General features: G+C 57.4%; 2 protein-coding genes and 1 pseudogene across 9 annotated transcripts in view, besides 2 other annotated features; 2 read left to right on the top strand and 1 right to left on the bottom strand.

Annotated features, from left to right (window-relative positions):
- SH3GL1 (SH3 domain containing GRB2 like 1, endophilin A2) overlaps window positions 1-2792 on the top strand; it is a 40178-nt gene extending 37386 nt beyond the window's left edge. For all 5 annotated transcript variants that reach the window (NM_001199943.2, NM_001199944.2, NM_003025.4 and 2 more), the window contains 3 exons: window positions 426-550; window positions 777-833; window positions 1366-2792. In NM_001199943.2, coding sequence (NP_001186872.1) covers window positions 426-550; window positions 777-833; window positions 1366-1562 — 379 coding nt within the window. In that variant the 3' untranslated portion in view covers window positions 1563-2792. The remainder of the gene's footprint in view (window positions 1-425; window positions 551-776; window positions 834-1365) is intronic.
- Window positions 3084-19600, bottom strand: MPND (MPN domain containing). Of its 4 annotated transcripts, none has more exons than NM_001300862.2 (13): window positions 19562-19600; window positions 19168-19454; window positions 17181-17417; window positions 10133-10265; window positions 9033-9117; window positions 8742-8838; window positions 8141-8213; window positions 7989-8065; window positions 5741-5909; window positions 5577-5647; window positions 4990-5079; window positions 3907-3999; window positions 3084-3246 (listed from the first exon to the last, which is right to left on the bottom strand). In NM_001300862.2, exons 1-13 carry the CDS (start codon window positions 19566-19568, stop codon window positions 3160-3162), a joined length of 1506 nt encoding a protein of 501 aa, NP_001287791.1. In that variant the 5' UTR covers window positions 19569-19600; the 3' UTR covers window positions 3084-3159. The 4 variants fall into 4 exon arrangements, with proteins under 4 accessions (NP_001287791.1, XP_006722989.1, NP_116257.2 ...); XM_006722926.3 differs by having other exon boundaries at window positions 5741-5822; NM_032868.6 differs by lacking the exon at window positions 4990-5079.
- Window positions 12353-12854: an enhancer, noted in NCBI's record as "H3K4me1 hESC enhancer chr19:4350305-4350806 (GRCh37/hg19 assembly coordinates)". NCBI's record gives its function as "activates a minimal SCP1, AML or CMV promoter by ChIP-STARR-seq in primed H9 embryonic stem cells {active_cell/tissue: H9 hESC(primed)}" and the evidence as "EXISTENCE:reporter gene assay evidence [ECO:0000049][PMID:30033119]".
- Window positions 14079-15582, top strand: EIF1P6 (eukaryotic translation initiation factor 1 pseudogene 6; annotated as a pseudogene).
- Window positions 19459-19748: a silencer, noted in NCBI's record as "silent region_9886". NCBI's record gives its function as "represses an Ori minimal core promoter by ATAC-STARR-seq in GM12878 lymphoblastoid cells {active_cell/tissue: GM12878}" and the evidence as "EXISTENCE:reporter gene assay evidence [ECO:0000049][PMID:35858748]".

The raw sequence follows: 19779 nt of genomic DNA, 5'->3' as shown, positions 1-19779 counted from the left end.
GATGCAGGCCCCGGGGACTCCCTCCCTGGCTGCACGTTGCTGCTGCCACAGGAACACCCAGGCTCCCCTCCCTGAATGCAGAGGCCAGACCTGCTTCAGGGGCCTTGGCGTATGTGGGGCGCCGTCCGTGGTGGGGAATTGGGGGAGGAGGCAGGGGATGCGACTGGGGGTGTTGTAGGTAGATGCTGTGGCAGGCCCCAGCTGCTTGGCAATCTCTGGGATGCCTCCAAGGTGGGGGTCCAGGCTGGAGGCCCTCTGGGTAGACATCCCAGTCTAGCTGTGTCCCAGGGTCCATGTGTCACAACCCCACTGACGGCCTCTTCCTGCAGTCCCAGGCCAGGTCATTAGGCAGCAGCATAAATACAAGAGTGGGGCTGCCTCGGCCGTGACACGGGCTCGGTCCACTCACGCCTCTCCCTTCACAGGATGCGGGAAGCTTCCTCACGCCCTAAGCGGGAGTATAAGCCCAAGCCCCGGGAGCCCTTTGACCTTGGAGAGCCTGAGCAGTCCAACGGGGGCTTCCCCTGCACCACAGCCCCCAAGATCGCAGGTAATGGGGCATGGAGCCCTCTTGCGGAGGCAAATGCCAGCGGGTGGGAGTGGCCAAGGGCTGGCCCTGTCCTGGGTCTCTGAGCGCCAGACTCCTGGGTGCAGCTCTCAGCCGTGCTCCATCTGGACCGCCAAGGCAGACGGGAAGGGCTGGCCCCAGCCTTCTGCAGAAGGGGCCCTGCCCGACCGTTTTGAGCCCACAGCCTCCTCGTTTTGCTTGTGTTTAGCTTCATCGTCTTTCCGATCTTCCGACAAGCCCATCCGGACCCCTAGCCGGAGCATGCGTGAGTGTTCCCAGGCCCGCCTCGACCTCAGTGCTGCCTTCTCGGCCATTCGGGGAGGGTGTTTCTCCTCCCGCCCTGTTCTCTGCCCATCTCAAGCAGGGAGGGGCCAGGCTCGTGCAGCAGTAGGGGGCACAGGCCCCACAGCCTGCAAGATGCCACCCCTCTGGGTCTCAGCCTCACAGTGTGAATGAGGGATTGCCAAGGGCACTAGCCCAGCTAGCTCTAGGCTGTGTGGTGGCTACAAGGGCTTGAGGGCATCTGGTCACTCCCTGTCACCGCAGCAGCACCGGGTGTCCCCAGCACTTCCCAGGAGTAGCTTTGGTGACCACTTAAACCAAGCTTCTCCCATCCTCCCTCCTGGGTGGCAGTAGAGGCCGGACCCCAGAAGTGGCAGGGGCAGGGGGTGGCCCAGGCAGGGCAGAGGGGAGGCCCATGCCCACCCACACGCTCCAGGTCACAGCAGGTCTGAGACCCCAGACTGGGCGGGGTGAGGCGTAGCAGCCCCAGCCCCACAGCCCGCTCCCGCCCCCAGCGCCCCTGGACCAGCCGAGCTGCAAGGCGCTGTACGACTTCGAGCCCGAGAACGACGGGGAGCTGGGCTTCCATGAGGGCGACGTCATCACGCTGACCAACCAGATCGATGAGAACTGGTACGAGGGCATGCTGGACGGCCAGTCGGGCTTCTTCCCGCTCAGCTACGTGGAGGTGCTTGTGCCCCTGCCGCAGTGACTCACCCGTGTCCCCGCCCCGCCCCTCCGTCCACACTGGCCGGCACCCCCTGCTGGGTCTCCTGCATTCCACGGAGCCCCTGCTGCCAGGGCGGTGTCTGAGCCTGCCGGCGCCACCTGGGCCCCGGCCCTTGAGGTACTCCCTGAGCAGGACCCCACACTTGGGTGGGGGGGCTTATCTGGGTGGGTGGGGATGCCTGTTTACACTAGCGCTGACTCCCAACGGTGACGGCTCCCTTCCCCACTCCATGGCGCCAGCCTCCTCCCCCGCTCCCCAACTTCTCGCCCAGCTGGCCGAGGCGGGGCAACACTAAGGTGCTCTTAGAAACACTAATGTTCCTCTGGGGCAGCCCCCACCTCCGTCCTGACCCGACGGGGGCCCGGCCCACTGCCTACCCTCGAGTCCCGCAGCCTTAACAGGATGGGATCGAGGGTCCCCATGGGGTGGCTCAGAGATAGGACCCTGGTTTTAAATCCCTCCCAGCCTGGTGCTGGTGATGGGCCCTGGCCCTACTCCAGGGCCAATGCACCCCCGCCTCACACACGCACTCCTTCTCCTCAAGGCCAGGGCAGAGGGCCTCACCGCCTCCCGGGCCTGCTGTCAGCTTGCAGCCCGGGGACAGAGGCCAGCTGGGATCTGCCTGAGGACAGAGAACATGGTCTCCTGCAGGGCCCTGCCTCCCAAGCCCCGCCCTCAGAAAGCCAAGTACCTTTTCAGCTTTTTAACTGCCCCCATCCCAACCCAGGGAGGCCTGTGTCACTCTGGCACAAGCTGCCACCACCAGCCACCCACACCCACCCCAGCACACCTCACACGGGACCACAGCCGCGCTGCCGAGGGCCAAGCACAAAGGTTCCAGTGAGCGCATGTCCCAGCCCCTGGTGGCCAGGCTCCCCTTGCTGAGCCGCTGCCACTTCACCCTGTGGGAAGTGGCCCCAGCCATCTCCTCTAGACCAAGGCAGGCAGCCCCGACATCTGCTTCCTCTATCGCCCAATGCAAAATCGATGAAATGGGGAGTTCTCTGGGCCAGGCCACATTCACATTCCCCTCCCCCTGTGGTCCAGTGAAGCCTCCGGACCCCAGGCTCTGCTCTGCCCTGCCCTGCACCCCCCTCGTCAGAAGTACATGAGGGGCGCAGAGATGAGCACACAGCTTTGGGCACGGTCCAGGGCAAACTGAAATGTACGCCTGAATTTTGTAAACAGAAGTATTAAATGTCTCTTTCTACAGCCCCTTGCCTCGTCTTGGTGCAGGGGTGGGCCTGCCACCCACCGCCTTCCTGAGGGGCCGGCTCCAAAGCCACACACACCCCAGGAGGTCCCTCCAGCACCCCAGGTGCTCCTGAGCCCAAGGTGGGTGGGACTGGCCCTGAGGCTTTTGTGCCAGTTCCCAGGTGCAGGGGCTGAGGGGTATCCTGGAAGTTAATGCCCTGCCCTGGAAGTGAGGAAGCTGGGGTGATGGTACCAGCCTGGGCACCCAGCCACCCTCACCCCAGCCTTGGGGAGACCAGCGTGGCTGGCTGCTGCTTCCGTTTCTTTATTACCTGAGCCCATCCGGACCCTCAAGACAACTGGAGCCCACCCTGCCCTGGAAGGCTCAGCTCCCCTGCTTGAGGACGCCGCACACCTGTTCCAGGACGTGACACAGGCTCTGGTCCTTGGGCGTCCTGCTGGCCAAGGAGATCTGAAACGAGGGGGCTGGGCCTCAGGCTGTGCCCGGGGGTCCTAGCCAGCCCTGCGCCTCACAGTCCACCGTGCAAGTCCAGCATCCTGACTGAGCCCCCCTGAGACCGAGGCACAGGGCTGGGGTCCCGCAGCACAGCCTGCTGCTTACCCAGTGGGGCAGTATGTAACCGAGGGCCTGGCTCCCAGGGGCAGCGGTGCTGTGTGGAGGGGTGGGGCTTATGTGCACACTCCCGATCCTGCCCCCACTTCAGCCCCTCCCTGCCTGGTTCCAGACACCCATGGGGACACCACAGCCTCCACAGCTAGCCGAGAGCTGAGCAGAATGAGTCCCTTTCTATGCCAGGTGGAGGGAAACCAGGAACCACTACCCTAAGACACTCAGGGGTGGCCAGGACCCTGGGCCCTCTGCAGGGGAGCCACTCCCAAAACCCGCTGCCAGGACCTCATCCGGCACTGCCGGAGCTTAAAGCTCCACAGTCCAATCAAATCTGGCCTGCACCCTGCTGGGGTGGCCACGGGGTGACCAGGGTCACCAGTCTGCCAGCTGGGCTGTCTCAGGCCCCTGAGGCCCACGGGGCTCATTGCTGCCACCTTTTAGGCTGCCCAGGGGGCCTCTCCTGGGGCCCCGTTAGGAGGTCTGCGGGGACTTGGGGCTCACCTTAAGCTTGTCGAGGTAGGTGTGCTCCTGGCTCCAGGGTTCCTGGAGCCTCACGAGGTCAGGGGAACCCTTGTAGAACTCCACCAGCAGCATCTACAGGACAGAGGAGCATGGACTCCCAGGCTCCCTCCAAGCCTGAGGTACCTCAGCGCCTCTCCTGGGGTTCCAGTCTCAGGCAGCCCTGAGACATGACCCCATCACTAACAAACCAACCACAAAGAGATCACGAGTGACCTTAGCCAGAGGGCTCACCTAGCTTAGGTCCAGGAGGGCTCTCTCGAGGGGGAGGCAGCAGCGTTGCCCAAGTGGCTGCCACGAGAGGTCCACCTGGACCTGCACTCACCGAGCCCAGTTCTCCAGAACCACGCGGGCCTGACGTGGCCCCCTGGTTCGGCCTCATCCCCAGCAGTGACACCTGTGAGGTCACAGGTTTGACGAACTAGTTTAGGTTTTGTTGGGTTTTTTCCTTGAGGTAGGGTCTCACTCTGTGGCCCAGACTGGAGCGCAGTGGCGTGATCTCGGCTCACTGTAACCTCCACCTCCCGGGTTCAAGAGCTTGTCCTGCCTCAGCCTCCCAAGTAGCTAGGACTATAGGCACCCGCCACCACTCCTGGCTAGCTTTTCTATCTTGGTAGTGACAGGGTTTCGCCATGTTGGCCAGACTAGTCTCGAACTCCTGACCTCAGGTGATCCACCCACCTCAGCCTCCCAAAGTGCTGGGATTACAGGCGTGAGCCACTATGTCTGCCTTAGTTTAGTGTTTTAAATGCATGTTGAACACACAATTTTTAAGTGTTCATCCAGTTACCACCCAAAGTCCCTGGGGTTTCTCTACTGGACAGCCTGGCAGAAGAGGCCAGTGCCTTAGAGAACAGCAGGTGGGGAGGTGAGGGAGGGCAGAAGTTGGAGGGACCCTGGCAAGGGCCTGGACTCTGTCCTGAGTGATGGAAGAAGCCCTAACCCAGGCCCCCAAGGCGCCACCAGCCATAGCTTCCCAAGCCCACCGGTGGGAAGCAGACCAACGCATCGTGTGCCCAGCTGCGCACTGCCAGCCCCTGCCTGCCCGCCCCGCAGCGAGCTCACCATCTCGTGAAGGATGTCATTGGTCAGGAAGCTGTCCTGGACGTAGGCCATCTCCACATCCATGGGGATGCCATAGTCACTGGGCCTTTGCTGGCAGGGACACAGACCAGTGAGAGAAGCCTCACCAGCCCGCAGCCCATGGCAGCTGGGGACAATTGGCAGTGCCCGGGCTGGGAACGGGAGAGTGCACACCCCGGCTCAGCTCTGCACCGGGATCGGCACCTGGTGGTGGGACCAGGGAGGCAGTGTAGCATCCTTACTGTGGGAGAGGCCCAGAGGAGAGCCAGGGCCCTGAAATGACTTCCCAGGGCTGACCTCTGACTTCAGGGCAGGATTGGGGAATGAAGCCAGGCAGGGTCAGGAAGGGAGCCCTCTTTGTACTGAGCAGCCAATGACACAACGGAGGCCCCACGCCCAGGACCTCACCAAAATATGGGCAGGGCAGCAGTCACGTCCCCATTTCATAGATGGAGAAACTGGGGCCCCAACTCTCCAGTGGAGCCTGGAACCAGGGGCCCCTGCCTAGTCGTGACCCAAATGCCCCAGTGCTCCCGGGCCCCCCAGGCTCTCCCAACAGCCCCACCTACCTCGGGAGGAGGCATCACCCAGAAAGGTGAGATCTTGGACTCGGGGCCTGGGTTGCCAGAATAGTAAGGGGCTGGCGGGAGAGAGGGAGAGGGGTTGGCCCTGGGAGGCTCGGCTGGCCCAGCATCCCCCCTCCTTGCTCCCCCCACAGCCCCATCCCGCGTACAGCAGAGCAGGGCGAGGCAGGGCTGGAAGCCATTGCTGGAGCCCTGCAGCCGCAGCTGGTAGTCCATCTGTGCGTCGATGTCCTGCAGAGATGGCAGCGCCGGGCTGTGTGGGTGGCTGTGGTACCAGCCCACCAGGGACAGGCCCCGCAGGAACAGGCTCTGGTAGATCTGGGGACAGAGGCGCAGCTCAGCGGGCACAGGGGCCTGAACGGCTCTAGTGAGCTTATGTGGCTGGCCAGCCCTGAACGAATTCCTGCTGTGTATCAGGCCTGGGGACACAGTGATGACCAAGACAGGCCCTGCCCCCACCGCCACTGAGTCCAGTGGGAGCTGGAGAGACAGCCAACAAGGACCTCTTTTAATATAAAAGATGCACCCTGCCACAAAGCCAGGACACCAAAGTCATTTTGTTCACTGCTGTAGCCCAGCTTACAGAATAATGGTCGCCACACAGTAAGCACTCAACAAACAGTTAAAACTAGGCTGGGAGCAGTGGCTCACGCCTATAATCCCAGTGCTTTGGGAGGCTGAGGCAGGCAGATCACTTGAGGTCACGAGTTCAAGACTAGCCTGGCCAACATGGAGAAACCCCCTTCTCTACTAAAAATACAAAAATTAGCCAGGTGTGGTGGCGTGTGTCTGTACTCCCATCTACTATGGAGGCTGAGGCAGGAGGATGTTGAACCTGGGCAGCTGATGCTGCAGTGAGCCATGATTATGCCACTGCAGTCCAGCCTGGGCAACAGAGCAAGATCGTGTCTCAAAGAAAAGGAAAAAAAAAAAAGAATAGCAACTGGCACTTATGAGTAGTGTTTAATAGATGAGGCCTGGCACTGAGCATTCAATATTAGCAGCCCTTCACTTTTTATGTTCTTAGATATAGGGTCTTGCTCTGTCACCCAGGCTGGAACACAGTGGCGCCATCTCAGCTCACTGAAGCCTCAACCTCCTGGACTCAATCCATCCTCCTGCCTCAGCCTCTCAAATAGATGGGACTACAGGTGCGTACCACCATGTCTGGCTAATTTTTTTTATCTTTTGTAGAGACGGGGTCTTGCTGTGGCCCCAGGCTGGTGTTGAACTCCAGCAAACCTCCTGCCTCGGCCTCCCTAAGTGCTGGGATTCCAGGTGTGAACCCCCGGTGCCTGGATCTGATGGCCTTTCATTGAAGCCGCTCATTTTACAGACAAGGAAACCAAGGCTCTGAGAGGGGAGGGGGCTGGCGAGGTTTCAGCACCAGGGCTAGGAGATCCAAAAGCAGTGCTCTTAGGCTGGGCGCGGTGGCTCACACCTGTAATCCCAGCACTTTGGGAGGCTGACGCGGGTGGATCACGAGGTCAGGAGTTTGAAACCAGCCTGGCCAACATGGTGAAACCCTGTCTCAACTAAAAATACAAAAATTAGCTGGAGATGGTGGCGCACACCTGTAATCCTAGGTATTCAGGAGGCAGAGGCAGGAGAATCACTTGAATCCGGAAGGTGGAGGTTGCAGTGAGCCAAGATCGCGCCCTGCACTCCATCCTGGGCGACAGAGCGAGAATGTCTCAAGAAAAAAAAAAAAAAGGCCGGGCGCAGTGGCTCACACCTGTAATCCCAGCACTTTGGGAGACCGAGGTGGGCAGATCACGAGGTCAAGAGATCGAGACCATCCTGACCAGGCACGGTGGCTCACCCCTGTAATCCCAACACTTTGGGAGGCTGAGGTGGGCGGATCACGAGGTAAAGAGATCAAGACCATCCTGACCAACATGGTGAAACCCTGTCTCTACTAAAAATACAAAAAATTAGCTGGGCACGGTGGCTCACGCCTGTAATCCCAGCACTTTGGGAGGCTGAGGCGGGCAGATCACGAGGTCAGGGGATCGAGACCATCCTGGCTAACGCGGTGAAACCCCGTCTCTACTAAAAACACAAAAAATTAGCTGGGCGTGGTGGCAGGCACCTGTAGTCCCAGCTATTCAGGAGGCTGAGGCAGGAGAATGGCGTGAACCCGGGAGGCGGAGCTTGCAGGGAGCTGAGATCGCACCACTGCACTCTAGCCTGGGTGACAGAGCGAGACTCCGTCTCAAAAAAAAAAAAAAAAAGCAGTGTTCTTCACCCTTCACCATGGGGTCCCAAGCACACAGACGGGCATGCTCACCTGCACGGTTGCTGGGTGATGACACTGCCAGCCACTGGGCAGTCGCCAGGACAGCTATGTCCCTTCCCAACCCTCCCCAGAATGCCACCTCCCAGGTAGCCCCTCACCTCCTCTTCGATGGCAGCTGCAGTCTCTGCGTCCCCGAGCCGGCTCCGACAAGGGAAGGCTCTGAGCACCGTCAGCACTGTGGGGAGGGGCAGCTGTGACCCCGTGACCCCGGTCCTCCAACGCCCCCGCCCACCTGGCCCTGGATACCCACTCTGGCTGTTGACGTCCCAGCGGCCCCCCAGGTAACCCACGACCTCACTCCGTGTCAGGTGACTGTGGAAGTCCTGGGGAAGGGAGGAACAGCAAAAGACTGGCTCAGGCTGTGGCCCTGCCCCAACACTGGAGCCAGCCTGTGCCCTCATTCTCTTTGAGACTCAGTCTTGCTCTGTCGCCCAGGCTGGAGGGCAGTGGCACGATCTTGGCTCACCGCAACCTCCGCCTCCCCAGTTCAAGCCATTCTCCTGTCTCAGCCTCTCAGGTAGCTGGGATTAGAGGCGTGCACCACCATGCCCAGCTAATTTTTGTATATTTAGTAGAGACAGGGTTTCAGTGTTACCCAGGCTTGTCTCGAACTCCTGAGTTCAGGTGACCCGCTGCCTCAGCTTCCCAAAGTGCTGGGATTATAGGTGTGAGCCACTGGGCCTGGCCACGCACCCTCCTTCATACATTTATTGAGCACCCACAGTGTACCAGTAGCAAACAAAGCAGACAAGGCCCCAGCTCTCATGGAGCTGATACGCAGGGGAGCCCCGCCCGCTGCCCACCGACTGGGCTCCGGAGCCCCTTGCCCCTAGACAGGGTGGGCCACACACCAGCAGGAACAGCACGTTGCTAGAAACAGCCACGTTGAACGGCTGGAACTTGTTGATGGCTGCAAAGGATGTTACTTCCACCAGGGTGTGGGGGTTCCTGTAGGGGCCAGGAGGGTCGCACAGTCTCAGGAATCCCCAGGCTCTTCCCTCGCCCCCACACTGACTCCCCCAACCCCACAGCTCTGAGGATCTGAGGCTCTGTCCCACCCCCCACCCCTGCCCTTGCTACCCCAAGACCAGCAAGAGATCCAGGTGAGCTGGGGCAGGGGCAGAACTTGGGGTGAGTCTGACCTGGCCAAGTCGCGGCTGCCCAGCATGCAGTAGCGGACCGGAACCCGGATCTTGCTGTCCACCCGCTTCCCTGGGGTTGTGGCCTCTGGGAGAGAAAAAGGCAGGGTCAGTCCCTCCCCAGCCCAAGTTAGAACAAATTAGGTGGCCACTGGGTGTGGTGGTGCATGCCTATAATCCCAGTGCTGAAGCAGGAGGATCGCTTGAGCATGGGAGGTTGAGGCTGCAGGGAGCTGTGATCACACCACTGCACTCCAGCCTGAGTTACAGAGTGAGACTCTTATTTACAAAGAAGAAATTTTTTTTCACTGGGAAGCTGAGGTGAGAGGATTGCTCAAGTCCAGGAGTTCAAGACCAGCCTGGGCAAGATGATGAGATCTCGTCTCTGAAAAAAAATACAAAAATTAGCCGGGTGTGGTGGTGCACACCTGTGGTCCCAGTTACTCAAGAGGCTGAGGTGAGAGCATCACTTGAACCCAGGAGGTTGAGGCTGCAGTTAGCCATGATTGCACCACTGTACTCTGCCCTGGGGGACAGAGCAAAACCCTGTCTCAAAAAAACAAAAAAACAGGTACAGTGGCTCACGCCTGTAATCCCAACACTTTGGGAGGCCGAGGCAGGTGGATCACCTGAGGTCAGGAGTTCAAGACCAGCCTGGACAACATTGTGAAACTCCATCTCTACTAAAAATACAAAAGTTAGCCAGGCGTGGCGGCTGGCGCCTATAGTCCCAGCTATTTGGGAGGCTGAGGCAGGAGAATCGCTTGAACCCGGGAGGCAGAGGTTGCAGTGAGCCGAGATTGAGCCACTGCATTCCAGCCTGGGCGACAGAGGGAGACTCCATCACCAAAAAATAAATAAATATATAAAATAAAATAAAATCCAGCATTTGAGCTTAAGAAGTCAAGGCAGTGAGTAAAACTGGGCAGTGGGACTGTCTTCAGCCCAGGCCTCGTCCGGCTCCAGACTTAGGGCCCAGCTGACTCTCCATGTCTCCATCTTGGGGGCCCTAGGAGAAGATCAAGGCCCAACCTCTCCCCAGTCTCCTCCCCAACCCGAGCTGTATCCGCCCCTGTCCTGCCTCCCCTCCCCACGCCTCTCACCCGGGTGGGCAGGCTCTGAAGGGCTCTTCCCCAGTGGTCTCCGACTCTTGTCCTCTGCTGAGACCCCTGCCAGAACGTCCTCCTCCTCCTCTTCCATCAGCAACTCCTCCTCCTCCCCTTCACTGGCTGGGCTCTGCAGGGGTTAGGGGTCAGGGACAGCGGTGGGACCCTCAGCTGGGTGCCCCCCCGCTCCCTGCTAAATCCCACCCCAGCCCTTTGGCCTAAGCCGTAAGTGCCATTGCCCCACATGACCACTAGAGGGAGGGAGGGAGCAGAGAAGGCCTTAAGCTAAGACCTCACATTTTTTTTTATTTATTTGTAATTTATTTTTTATTTATTTATTTTTGAGACGGAGTCTCTCTCTGTCGCCCAGTCTGGAGTGCAGTGGTGTGATTTCGGCTCACTGCAACTTCTGCCTCCTGGGTTCAAGTGACTCTCCTGCCTCAGCCTCCTGAGTAGCTGGGGTTACAGGCATGCACCACCACATCCAGCTAATTTTGTATTCTTAGTAGAGACGGGATTTCTCCATGTTGGTCAGGCTGGTCTCAAACTCCCGACCTCAGGTGATCCACCCACCTCGGCCTCCCAAAGTGCTGGGATTACAGGCGTAAGCCACCGCACCCGGCTCACCTCGCATTTTATAATACAAGCCCTGCGCAACCTTTGGTGAGCACCATTGCCATTTATGCCTAGGGTTCCATTATTGGAACGCTAAGCATATGGGAGCTATTTATATCCTACTGCTCAAAGTCATCGCCAAGGTCTGATTGCAAAAATTCAAAGAATTGCAACCTCAGGCATAAATGGGTTTAAACTCTCTGAACTCTATCTATTCTTTTATCTTTTTTTTTTTCTTTGAGACACGGTCTCACTCTGTCACCCAGGCTGGAGCGCAGTGGCACGATCTTGGCTCACTGCAACCTCTGCCTTCCGGGTTCAAGCCATTCTCTTGCCTCAGCCTCCTGAGTAGCTGGGAGTACAGTTGCCCACCACCATGCCTGGCTAATTTTTGTCTTTTTAGTATAGATGAGGTTTTGCCATGTTGGCCAGGCTGGTCTCAAACTCCTGACCTCAAGTGACCCACCTGCCTCAGCCTCCCAAAGTGTTGGCATTACAGGTGTGAGCCACCGTGCCCAGCCAACTCTATTCTTTTTTTTTTTTTTTTTTTGAGACAGAGTCTCACTCTGTCGCCGAGGCTGGAGTGCAGTGGCATGATCTCGGCTCACTACAACCTCCACCTCCCGGGTTCAAGTGATTTTCCTGCCTCAGCCTCCCGAGTAGCTGGGATTATAGGCATGTGCCACCACGCCCAGCTAATTTTTTGTATTTTTAGTAGAGATGGGGTTTCACCGTGTTAGCCAGGATGGTCTCGATCGTCTGACCTTGTGATTTGCCCATCTCGGCCACCCAAAGTGCTGGGATTAAAGGCGTGAGCCACCGTGCCCGGCCGCCAAGTCTATTCTTATCTGTAAAAGGGCACAATGACCTCCAACTCCACGGGGATGGCATCAGGGTGAAATGAAATCATACGCACAAAGCATTTAGCATACACCTAGATGCTCCGTTCATTGAGCGAGCCAGCACCATACATAGGTGGCTTTCACGTCTTTCAGTAACCTTTCCTCCCAGTCGGGCACAGTGGCCCACGCCTGCAATCCCAGCACTTTGGGAGGCTGAGGCGGTGGACCACTTGAGGTCAGGAGTTCGAGACCAGCCTGGCCAACATGGTGAAACCCCATCTCTACTAAAAATACAAAAATTAGCCAGGCATGGTGGCGAACACCTGCAATCCCAGCTACTCAGGAGGCTGAGGCAGGAGGATCACTTGAACCCGGGAGGCGGAGACTGCAGTGAACTGAGATCACACCATTGTACTACAGCCTGGGTGACGGAGCGAGACTCTGTCTACAAAAATACAAATTAAAAATAACCTCTCCTCCAGTTCTGTCCTAAACTGCCCTTGTGGAGGTGACCTCTCTGGGTCACATCTCACTTTCTGTCCTCGTCACCTTCTCGGCAGCATCTGACCCAGCACAGCCTCCTACCTACCAGGACACGGTCCTCACACAACCCCCGGATCCCACGCTCGCCTGGCTCCCTCTCACCTCCCCTCTCGCTGTTGCTGGCCCCAGGCTGGGTTTTCAGGCCTCCTCCCTCCACACCCCTCCCAGGTGGCCTCATCCCCTCTCAGGGCTCCAAATCCTGTCTACACCTGACACTGCCCACAGTCCTGTCTCCAGCCCAAGCCTCGCCCGGCTCCAGACTCAGGGCCCAGCTGCCTCTCTATGTCTCCATGTGGGGGACTCACAGGGTCACACTCAACACAGCCATGCTGGGCCCCACTGAACCCCCAGATCTGCCCTTCCCACATCCCCCAATTTTGGCAGCTCGATCCACCCACTTGCTCAGGACTCCAGCATCTGATCTATCAGCAAATCTGGCGGATACACTTCCAAAAATACCTGGAACCTGCCCACTTCTTCCCTGCTCCATGGTCGGCCTGGGCCACTCCATCATCCCTCACCTGGACCAGCTCACTCACCTCTGCCCTGGTCCCTGGATCCCACCCTAACCCCCGACAGTCTAGTCCCCACAGCAGCCACCAGAGAACGCCTGTGAGCACCTCAGTCAGATCCTGTCCTTCCTCTGCCTGCAACACTCCATGGCTCCCACCTTCCTCCCGGTCAAAGCCCAAGTTCTCCCCATAACCTACAGAGCCCTGCATGACCTGCCCTGTCCCCTTCCCATCCTCCCCACCTCCTTCTCTCTCCCTTACTCACTCGGCTCCAGCCACACAGGCTCCTCGCTGTTCCTCCAACACACCAGGCACGGTCGTGCCCCAGGGCCTTTGCAGAGGCTGTTTCTCAGAAGTCCTCATGGCACCCTCCCTCCCTCCCCACCTTCAGTTCTCCGTTCAAATGTCACCTTCTCAGTGAAGCCCCCCCAACCACCTTCTTCCCCCACAACTCCCACCCAAAGGCAGGGATTTTTGACTTTTTTTGCCCTCTGCTTTATATTCAGTGCCTAAAACAGGCCTTGCACACAGTTGGCCACTAACTGAATACATACTGAAAGAATGGTTTCCTGTGTCATCTTAGCTAGGCAAGAGTGCCTGGTAATTTAATGGAACACTGATCTAGGCATTACTGCGATGGCATTTGTTACATGTGATTCATATCTACAGTAAGGTGACTTTCAGAAAGGACATTGCTCTTGACCAGGCTCCATGGCTGGCTCACGCCTGCAATCCCAGCACTTTGGGAGGCAGAGGTGGGCGGATCACCTGAGGTCAGGAGTTCAAGACTAGCCTGGCCAACATGGTGAAACCCCATCTCTACTAAAAATACAAAAATTAACTGGGCATGGTAGTGGGCATCTGTAGTCCCAGCTACTCAGGAGGCTGAGGCAGGAGAATCGCCTGAACCCAAGAGGCGGAGGTTGCAGTGAGCCAAGATCACGCCATTGCGCTCCAGCCTGGGCAACAAGAGCGACACTCCATCTCAAAAAAAAAAAATAGACCCACTCACTGAGCCACTGAGGACTCGGCAGCCTCCCGTTGAGCACCCTCACTTCCTGACGCTCCATCCCTCCCACTCGCCTTCTCCCGCCACCACTGCTTTCCACAGGCAGTTCCCACCAAGGCAAAGGAATCGTGACTGGCTGCGGTGGCTCATGCCTGTAATCCCTGCACTTTGGGATACCGAAGCGAGTGGATCACTTGAGGTCAGGAGTTCGAGACCAGCCTGACCAACATGGTGAAACCGCATCTCTAATAAACATGCAAAAATACAAAAATCAGCTGAGCTTGGTGGCGCGCCCTTGTAGTCCCAGCTACTCTGGAGGCTGACGCAGAAGAATTGCGTGAACCCGGGAACGGGAGGTTGCAGTGAGCCAAGATCACAGCACTGCACTCCAGCCTGGACAACAGAGCGAGACTCCATCTCAAAAACAGAATTATATCTTTTGTCCACTATCCAGAACCTCCACTCTTTCAACCCCTCTGCTGATGCAAGTAACAGTGATGACCTGCTTCCTGCTGGCACTGAGGACTGTATCCATATAAGAATTCAACAGAGGCCGGGCATGGTGGCTCACGCCTATAATCCCAGCACTTTGGGAGGCTGAGGCAGGTAGATCACGAGGTCAGGAGTTCAAGACCAGCCTGGCCAAAATGGTGAAACCCCGTCTCCACTAAAAATAAAAAAATTAGCCAGGCCTGGTGGTGGGCGCCTATAATTCCAGCTACTTGGAGGCTGAGGTAGGAGAATGGCTTGAATCCGGGAGGCAGAGTTTGCAGTGAGCCAAGATTGCACCACTGCATTCCAGCCTGGGCGACACAGTGAGACTCCATCTCAAAAAAAAAAAAGAATTCAACAGAAAAATGGCAGGAAAACGCTTACTGCTGTCCTGCAAGAGATCAGTGATGATTACGATAAAAAGAAACTAGTGAAGGTGTTTAAGAAGAAATTTAGGCCGGGCGCGATGGCTCACGCCTATAATCTCAGCACTTTGGGAGGCCGATGGGGGTGGATCACGAGGTCAGGAGTTTGAGAACAGCCGGACCAACATGGTGAAACCCCATTTCTACTAAAAATACAAAAATTAGCCGGGTGTGGTGGTGTGTGCCTGTAATCCCAGCTACTCAAGAGGCTCAGGCAGGAGAATCGCTTGAACCTGGGAGGCAGAGGTTGCAGTGAGCCTAGATTGTGCCACTGAGCTCCAGCCTGGGCGACAGAGCGAGACTCCGTCTCAAAAAAAAAAAAAAAAAAAAAAAAGAAATTTGCAATTTGCCTGCCTGCAATGATACTGTAATTGAGCATCCAGAATATGGATAAGTCAGCTGGGCTTGGTGGCTCACGCCTGTAATCCCAGCATTTTGGGAGGCGGAGGCGGGCGGATCACCTGATGTCAGGAGTTCGAGACCAGCCTGGCCAACGTGGTGAAACCCCGTCTCTACTAAAAATATAAAAATTAGCCGGGTGTGGTGGTGGGCGCCTGTAATCCCAGCTACTCGCGAGACTGAGGCAGGAGAATCATTTGAACCCGGGAGGCAGAGGTTGCAATGAGCAGAGATCGTGGCATTGCATTCCAGCCTGGGAGACACAGCGAGAGTCTGTCTCAAAAAAAAAAAACAAAAAAAAACACAATATGGAGAAGTAATTCAGCTACAGAGTGACCAGTGCAAGAACATTTGCCAGTTCCTTGTAGACACTGGACTGACTAAGGAGGATCATGTGAAGGGTCAAGGGTTTTTTTGCCACTGCGTCGGGCAGGTTCATGGGTTTTAAGTGCTTGTGGCTCACTGAAGCTTAAGTGAGGATTTCCTTGCAATGAGTAGAATTTCCTTTCTGTCCTTTGTCACAAGTTTAAAAACCTCACAGCTTGTATAACGTAACCATTTGTGGTCTGCTTTTAACATGGACTAGTGTTAACTCCTTCATGCAATAAACTTCGTACATAAAAAAAAGTTTATGAAAACATATCTACAGGCAGCTGGGCGCGGTGGCTCACACTTGTAATCCCAGCACTTTGGGAGGCCGAGGTGGGTGGATCACGAGGTCAGGAGATCGAGATCATCCTGGCTAACACGGTGAAACCCCGTCTCTACTAAAAATACAAAAATTATCCGGGCGTGGTGGTGGGTGCCTGTAGTCCCAGCTACTCGGGAGGCTGAGGCAGGAGAATGGCATGAACCCGGGAGGCAGAGCTTGCAGTGAGCTGAGATCGTGCCACTGTACTCCAGCCTGGGCGACAGAGCAAGACTCCGTCTTGAAAAAAAAAAAAAACATATCTACGAAAAGAAGAAAGGACATTACTCTTGATACTACAGGTGGGCCTCATCCAATCAGTTGAAGGCGATAACAGCAAAAACAGAAAAAAAAAAAAGATTCTGCCACAAGACTACAGCATCTGCTCCTGCCTCAGTTTCCTGCCTGCCCTACAGATTCCACACATGGGCACTGGTACCATCTCCATTTTGGGGTTTTGTTGTTGTTGTTTTGAAATGGAGTCTCAATCTGTTGCCAGGCTGGAATGCAGTGGTGTGATCTCAGCTCACTGCAACCTCCGCCTTGCAGGTTCAAGTGATTCTCCTGCCTCAGCCTCCCGAGTAGCTGGGACTACAGGCGTGCACCACCACGCCTGGCTAATTTTTGTCTTTTTAGTAGAGACGGGGTTTCACCATGTTGGCCAGGCTGGTCTGGATCTCTTGACCTCGTGAACCTGCCTGCTTCAGCCTCCCAAAATGCTGGGATTACAGGCATGAGCCACTGTGCCTGGCCTACCATCTCCATTTCACATAAGAAAAAAAAAACGGCCAGTGCAGTAGCTCACGCCCGCAATCCCAACACTTTGGGAAGTCCAGGTGGGAGGATTGCTGGAGGCCAGGAGTTTGAGACCAGCCTAGGCAACATGGTGAAACCTCATCTCTTCTAAAAATCCAAAAATTAGCCGGGTGTGGTGGCATGCGTCTGTAGTCCAGCTACTAGGGAGGCTGAGGTGGGAGGATCGCTTGAACCCAGGAGGTGAAGGCTGTAGTGAGCCAAGATGGGGGCACTGCACTCCAGCCTGGGCCACAGAGTGAGACCCTGTCTCAAAAAAAAAGAAAAAAACTAAGGCACACAAAGGGTCCTTGGTCAAGTTCACCCGGCTGGTGAACACTCAGGGAACATCTATTATCATAGCATTTGAAGTTCCCCCAGTGCCCCTCTGGTCCCTGCCATCATTTCCAGCCCCCTCAGCCACCCATGACACCAGCAGGTCTTTCTTCTTGTCTACATGACTTTGCGTATGCCATTCCATCCTTCTAGAAAGCTCTTCCCTTCAACTTGCTCTGACAAACTCCTGCTCATCCCTCAAAGCCCAAGCTCCCATGTCCCCTCTCTCCGCCCCAGCCCTGGAGGGATGGAGGAGGCATGTCACGTGGTAAGGGCTCCATCCGTGTTTGTATATATTACTAATACCTCCTCCGGAGAGAGCTGTGCCAGGCTGGGCACCCCTCATTCCACAGTGACCTGGGCGGCTTCCTGGAGGAGGCTGCAGCACGTACCTCATCAGCAGCCGTGGCAGGCGTGTGCAGCTGGTGCAGCCGGAGCCAGGTGGCCTTGTACTTGTCCAGTTTCTGGCCTTTGTACTTGACAGAGGCCCAGCCACAGCCCGACTTCTTGGCAGGGTTCACCAGCTTCTTGCAGTGGGTGGCCCAGGCGCTGGGTGAGTTGAAGGTCTGCCCGGTCTCCTGCCACATGATCCTTCCGTCTGGCTGCAGGTCGCCCAGGAACTTCTTCCCCTGCAGTGACAGTCAGCTGGCTGGGCCCAGGACCAACACCCACCATGCCCTCTCTCCCGGGGGGTCCTCCCCAGACCTACGCTCCCTCAGGCATGTCTTTACAGGGCTTCCAGGAACACCTCTCAGGCCGGCTGCAGGGCCTCCTCAGTGCCTGGGAGTCCACACCCACAAACCTGATCAGCCTGCACCAAGCTGCCTGGCAGATATCTGCACCCCGCCCACCATGACCAAGAAACCCCTAAGATCGGGGATAGGGTCTGTCTGTCTTGATCACTGCTGTGTCTCCAGGATGCAACACTCAGCAGTTGCTCCATTCAGAAACTCCCATTCAGAAGGGGAATAATGTGCTACCATTCACAAATCAAACAATAATGACAACAGTAATAGTAATAATACAGGGCTGGGTGCAGTGGTTCACGCCTGTAATCCCAGCACTTTGGGAGGCTGAGGCGGGCGGATCACCTGAGGTCAGGAGTTTGAGACCAGCCTGGCCAACATGGTGAAACCCCATCTCTACTAAAAATATAAAAATTAGCCAGGCGTGGTGGCGGGTGCCTGTAATCCCAGCTACTCAAGAGGCTAAGGCAGGAGAATTGCTTGAACCGGGAGGCAGAGGTTGCAGTGAGCCGAGATCATGCTACTGCATTCCAGCCTGGGCAACAGCGCGAGACTCTGTCTCAAAAAAAAAAAAAAAAAAAAAAAAAGGCCGGGCATGGTGGCTCACGCCTATAATCCCAGCACTTTGGGAGCTGAGGCAGGCGGACCACGAGGTCAGGAGTTCAAGACCAGCCTGGCCAATATAGTGAAACCCCGTCTCTACTAAAACTGCAAAAAAAAAAAATTAGCCAGGCGTGGTGGCGCATACCTGTAGTCCCAGCTACTCGGGAGGCTGAGGCAGAAAATCGCTTGAACCGGGAGGCAGAGGTTGCAGTGAGCCGAGATCGAGCAACTGCATTCCAGCCTGGGCAAAAAAGCGAGACTCTGTCTCAAAAAAAAAAAAAAAAAAAAAGTACTAATACCTACCACAGATAAAGTGCTTACCATGTGGCAGGCGCCTGCTGAGGGCTTTATTCATTTAACCATCCCCTAATTTTCCCATGGTGGGGAAATATTCCATTTCACGGCTGGGAAACCACAGGAAGGCCGGGGTGTTGCCCATCTGACCCTGCGCGGGTGGTGGCTCCTCTCTGAGCCTCAGCTTCTCCTTTGTGGGATGGGGTGTTTGGTAATCTACGTCCTCCCCACCAGAAGGACCCATCTGTGCCTCAGATTCCTCTCTCCACATGGGGCTTGTCCCGTAAAAAGAGCTCCGGGCCTCAGTGTCCCCTCCACGGGAGCTCCTCCTGCAGGAAAGGAGCTCTGGGCCTCAGTTTCCCCTCCCCACACTGGGGCTTGTCCTAAAGCAAGGGAGCTCTCCAGGCCTCAGTCTCCCTTCCTCACACCGGGGCTCTTCCTGCCGCCAAGGGAGCTCCGGGCCTCAGTCTCCCCTCTTCATGTCGGGGCTCTTCCTGCAGCCAAGAGAGCTCCGAGCCTCAGTTTCCCCTCCTCACACTGGAGCTCTTCCTGCAGTCAACGGAGCCCCGGGCCTCAGTTTCCCCTCGCCACACCGGGGCTCGTCTCTCAGCAAGGGAGCTCCGGGCCTCAGTGTCCCCTCCCTACACTGAAGCTTGTCCTGCAGCAAGGGAACTCCAGGCCTCAGTTTCCCCTTCCTGCCCGAGCCGCGATGGGACGAGGGAGGCGGGGTGCTCACCAGGTAGTAGATGGACAGCACCCCGGCGCCAGGCTCCAGCAGCGCGTCTTTGAGGAGCACCCGCAGTGTGACCGCGCGCCTGGTGAGCGCGCCCCCGGGCCCGCCGCAGCCCCCCGCCCCGGCCCCGCCGCCGCCGCCTCCTCCGCTGACGCTACTGCCGCCGCCGCCACTGCGTCCACCGCCCGCTCCCGCATTCGGCCGCTCAGGGTCCTCGGCCTCCGCTTCGTCCTCGTCCTCCTCCGGCGCCTCCTCGCCCGCACCGCCCGCCGGGGACAGCGGCTCCGGAGCTGCGGACAGCGAGAGGCTGCAGGGAGGCCGCTCGCCCCACGGCTCTGCAGCCCCGCGCCCCTGCAGCCCCGCGCCCCGCGCCTCCGCCCCGCTGGGCCCGCCGTACCTGCCATGGCCGCGCCTCCCCGCGCCCGGAGCTCTAGACTCCGGCTTCCCGGCACGTCACGCGGCCCCGCCCCGGGGAGGGGAGGGGCGCCCCAACCATTGGCCGTCGCCGGGGTCGGGGGAAGGGCTCGGCGCGCTGGGGTGGGCGGAGAAACTGAGGCCTCGGGGATGCCCACGCGGGAGAGAGATCGGGAACTCAGCCCTCTGGGAACATTCGGG

The sequence above is a fragment of the Homo sapiens genome, chromosome 19 (assembly GCF_000001405.40).
Source record: "Homo sapiens chromosome 19, GRCh38.p14 Primary Assembly".
Lineage (NCBI taxonomy): Eukaryota > Metazoa > Chordata > Mammalia > Primates > Hominidae > Homo > Homo sapiens.
This window is presented reverse-complemented; position numbering and strand designations above follow the sequence as displayed.

Coding starts and splice junctions, on each gene's coding strand:
- MPND (NM_001300862.2), bottom strand. Junction 8,839..9,032: donor GGCAGCCGCGACTTGGCCAG/GTCAGACTCACC, acceptor TGGCCCCTACAG/GAACCCCCACACCCTGGTGG. Junction 5,648..5,740: donor CTGCCTCGCCCTGCTCTGCT/GTACGCGGGATG, acceptor CTCTCCCGCCAG/CCCCTTACTATTCTGGCAAC.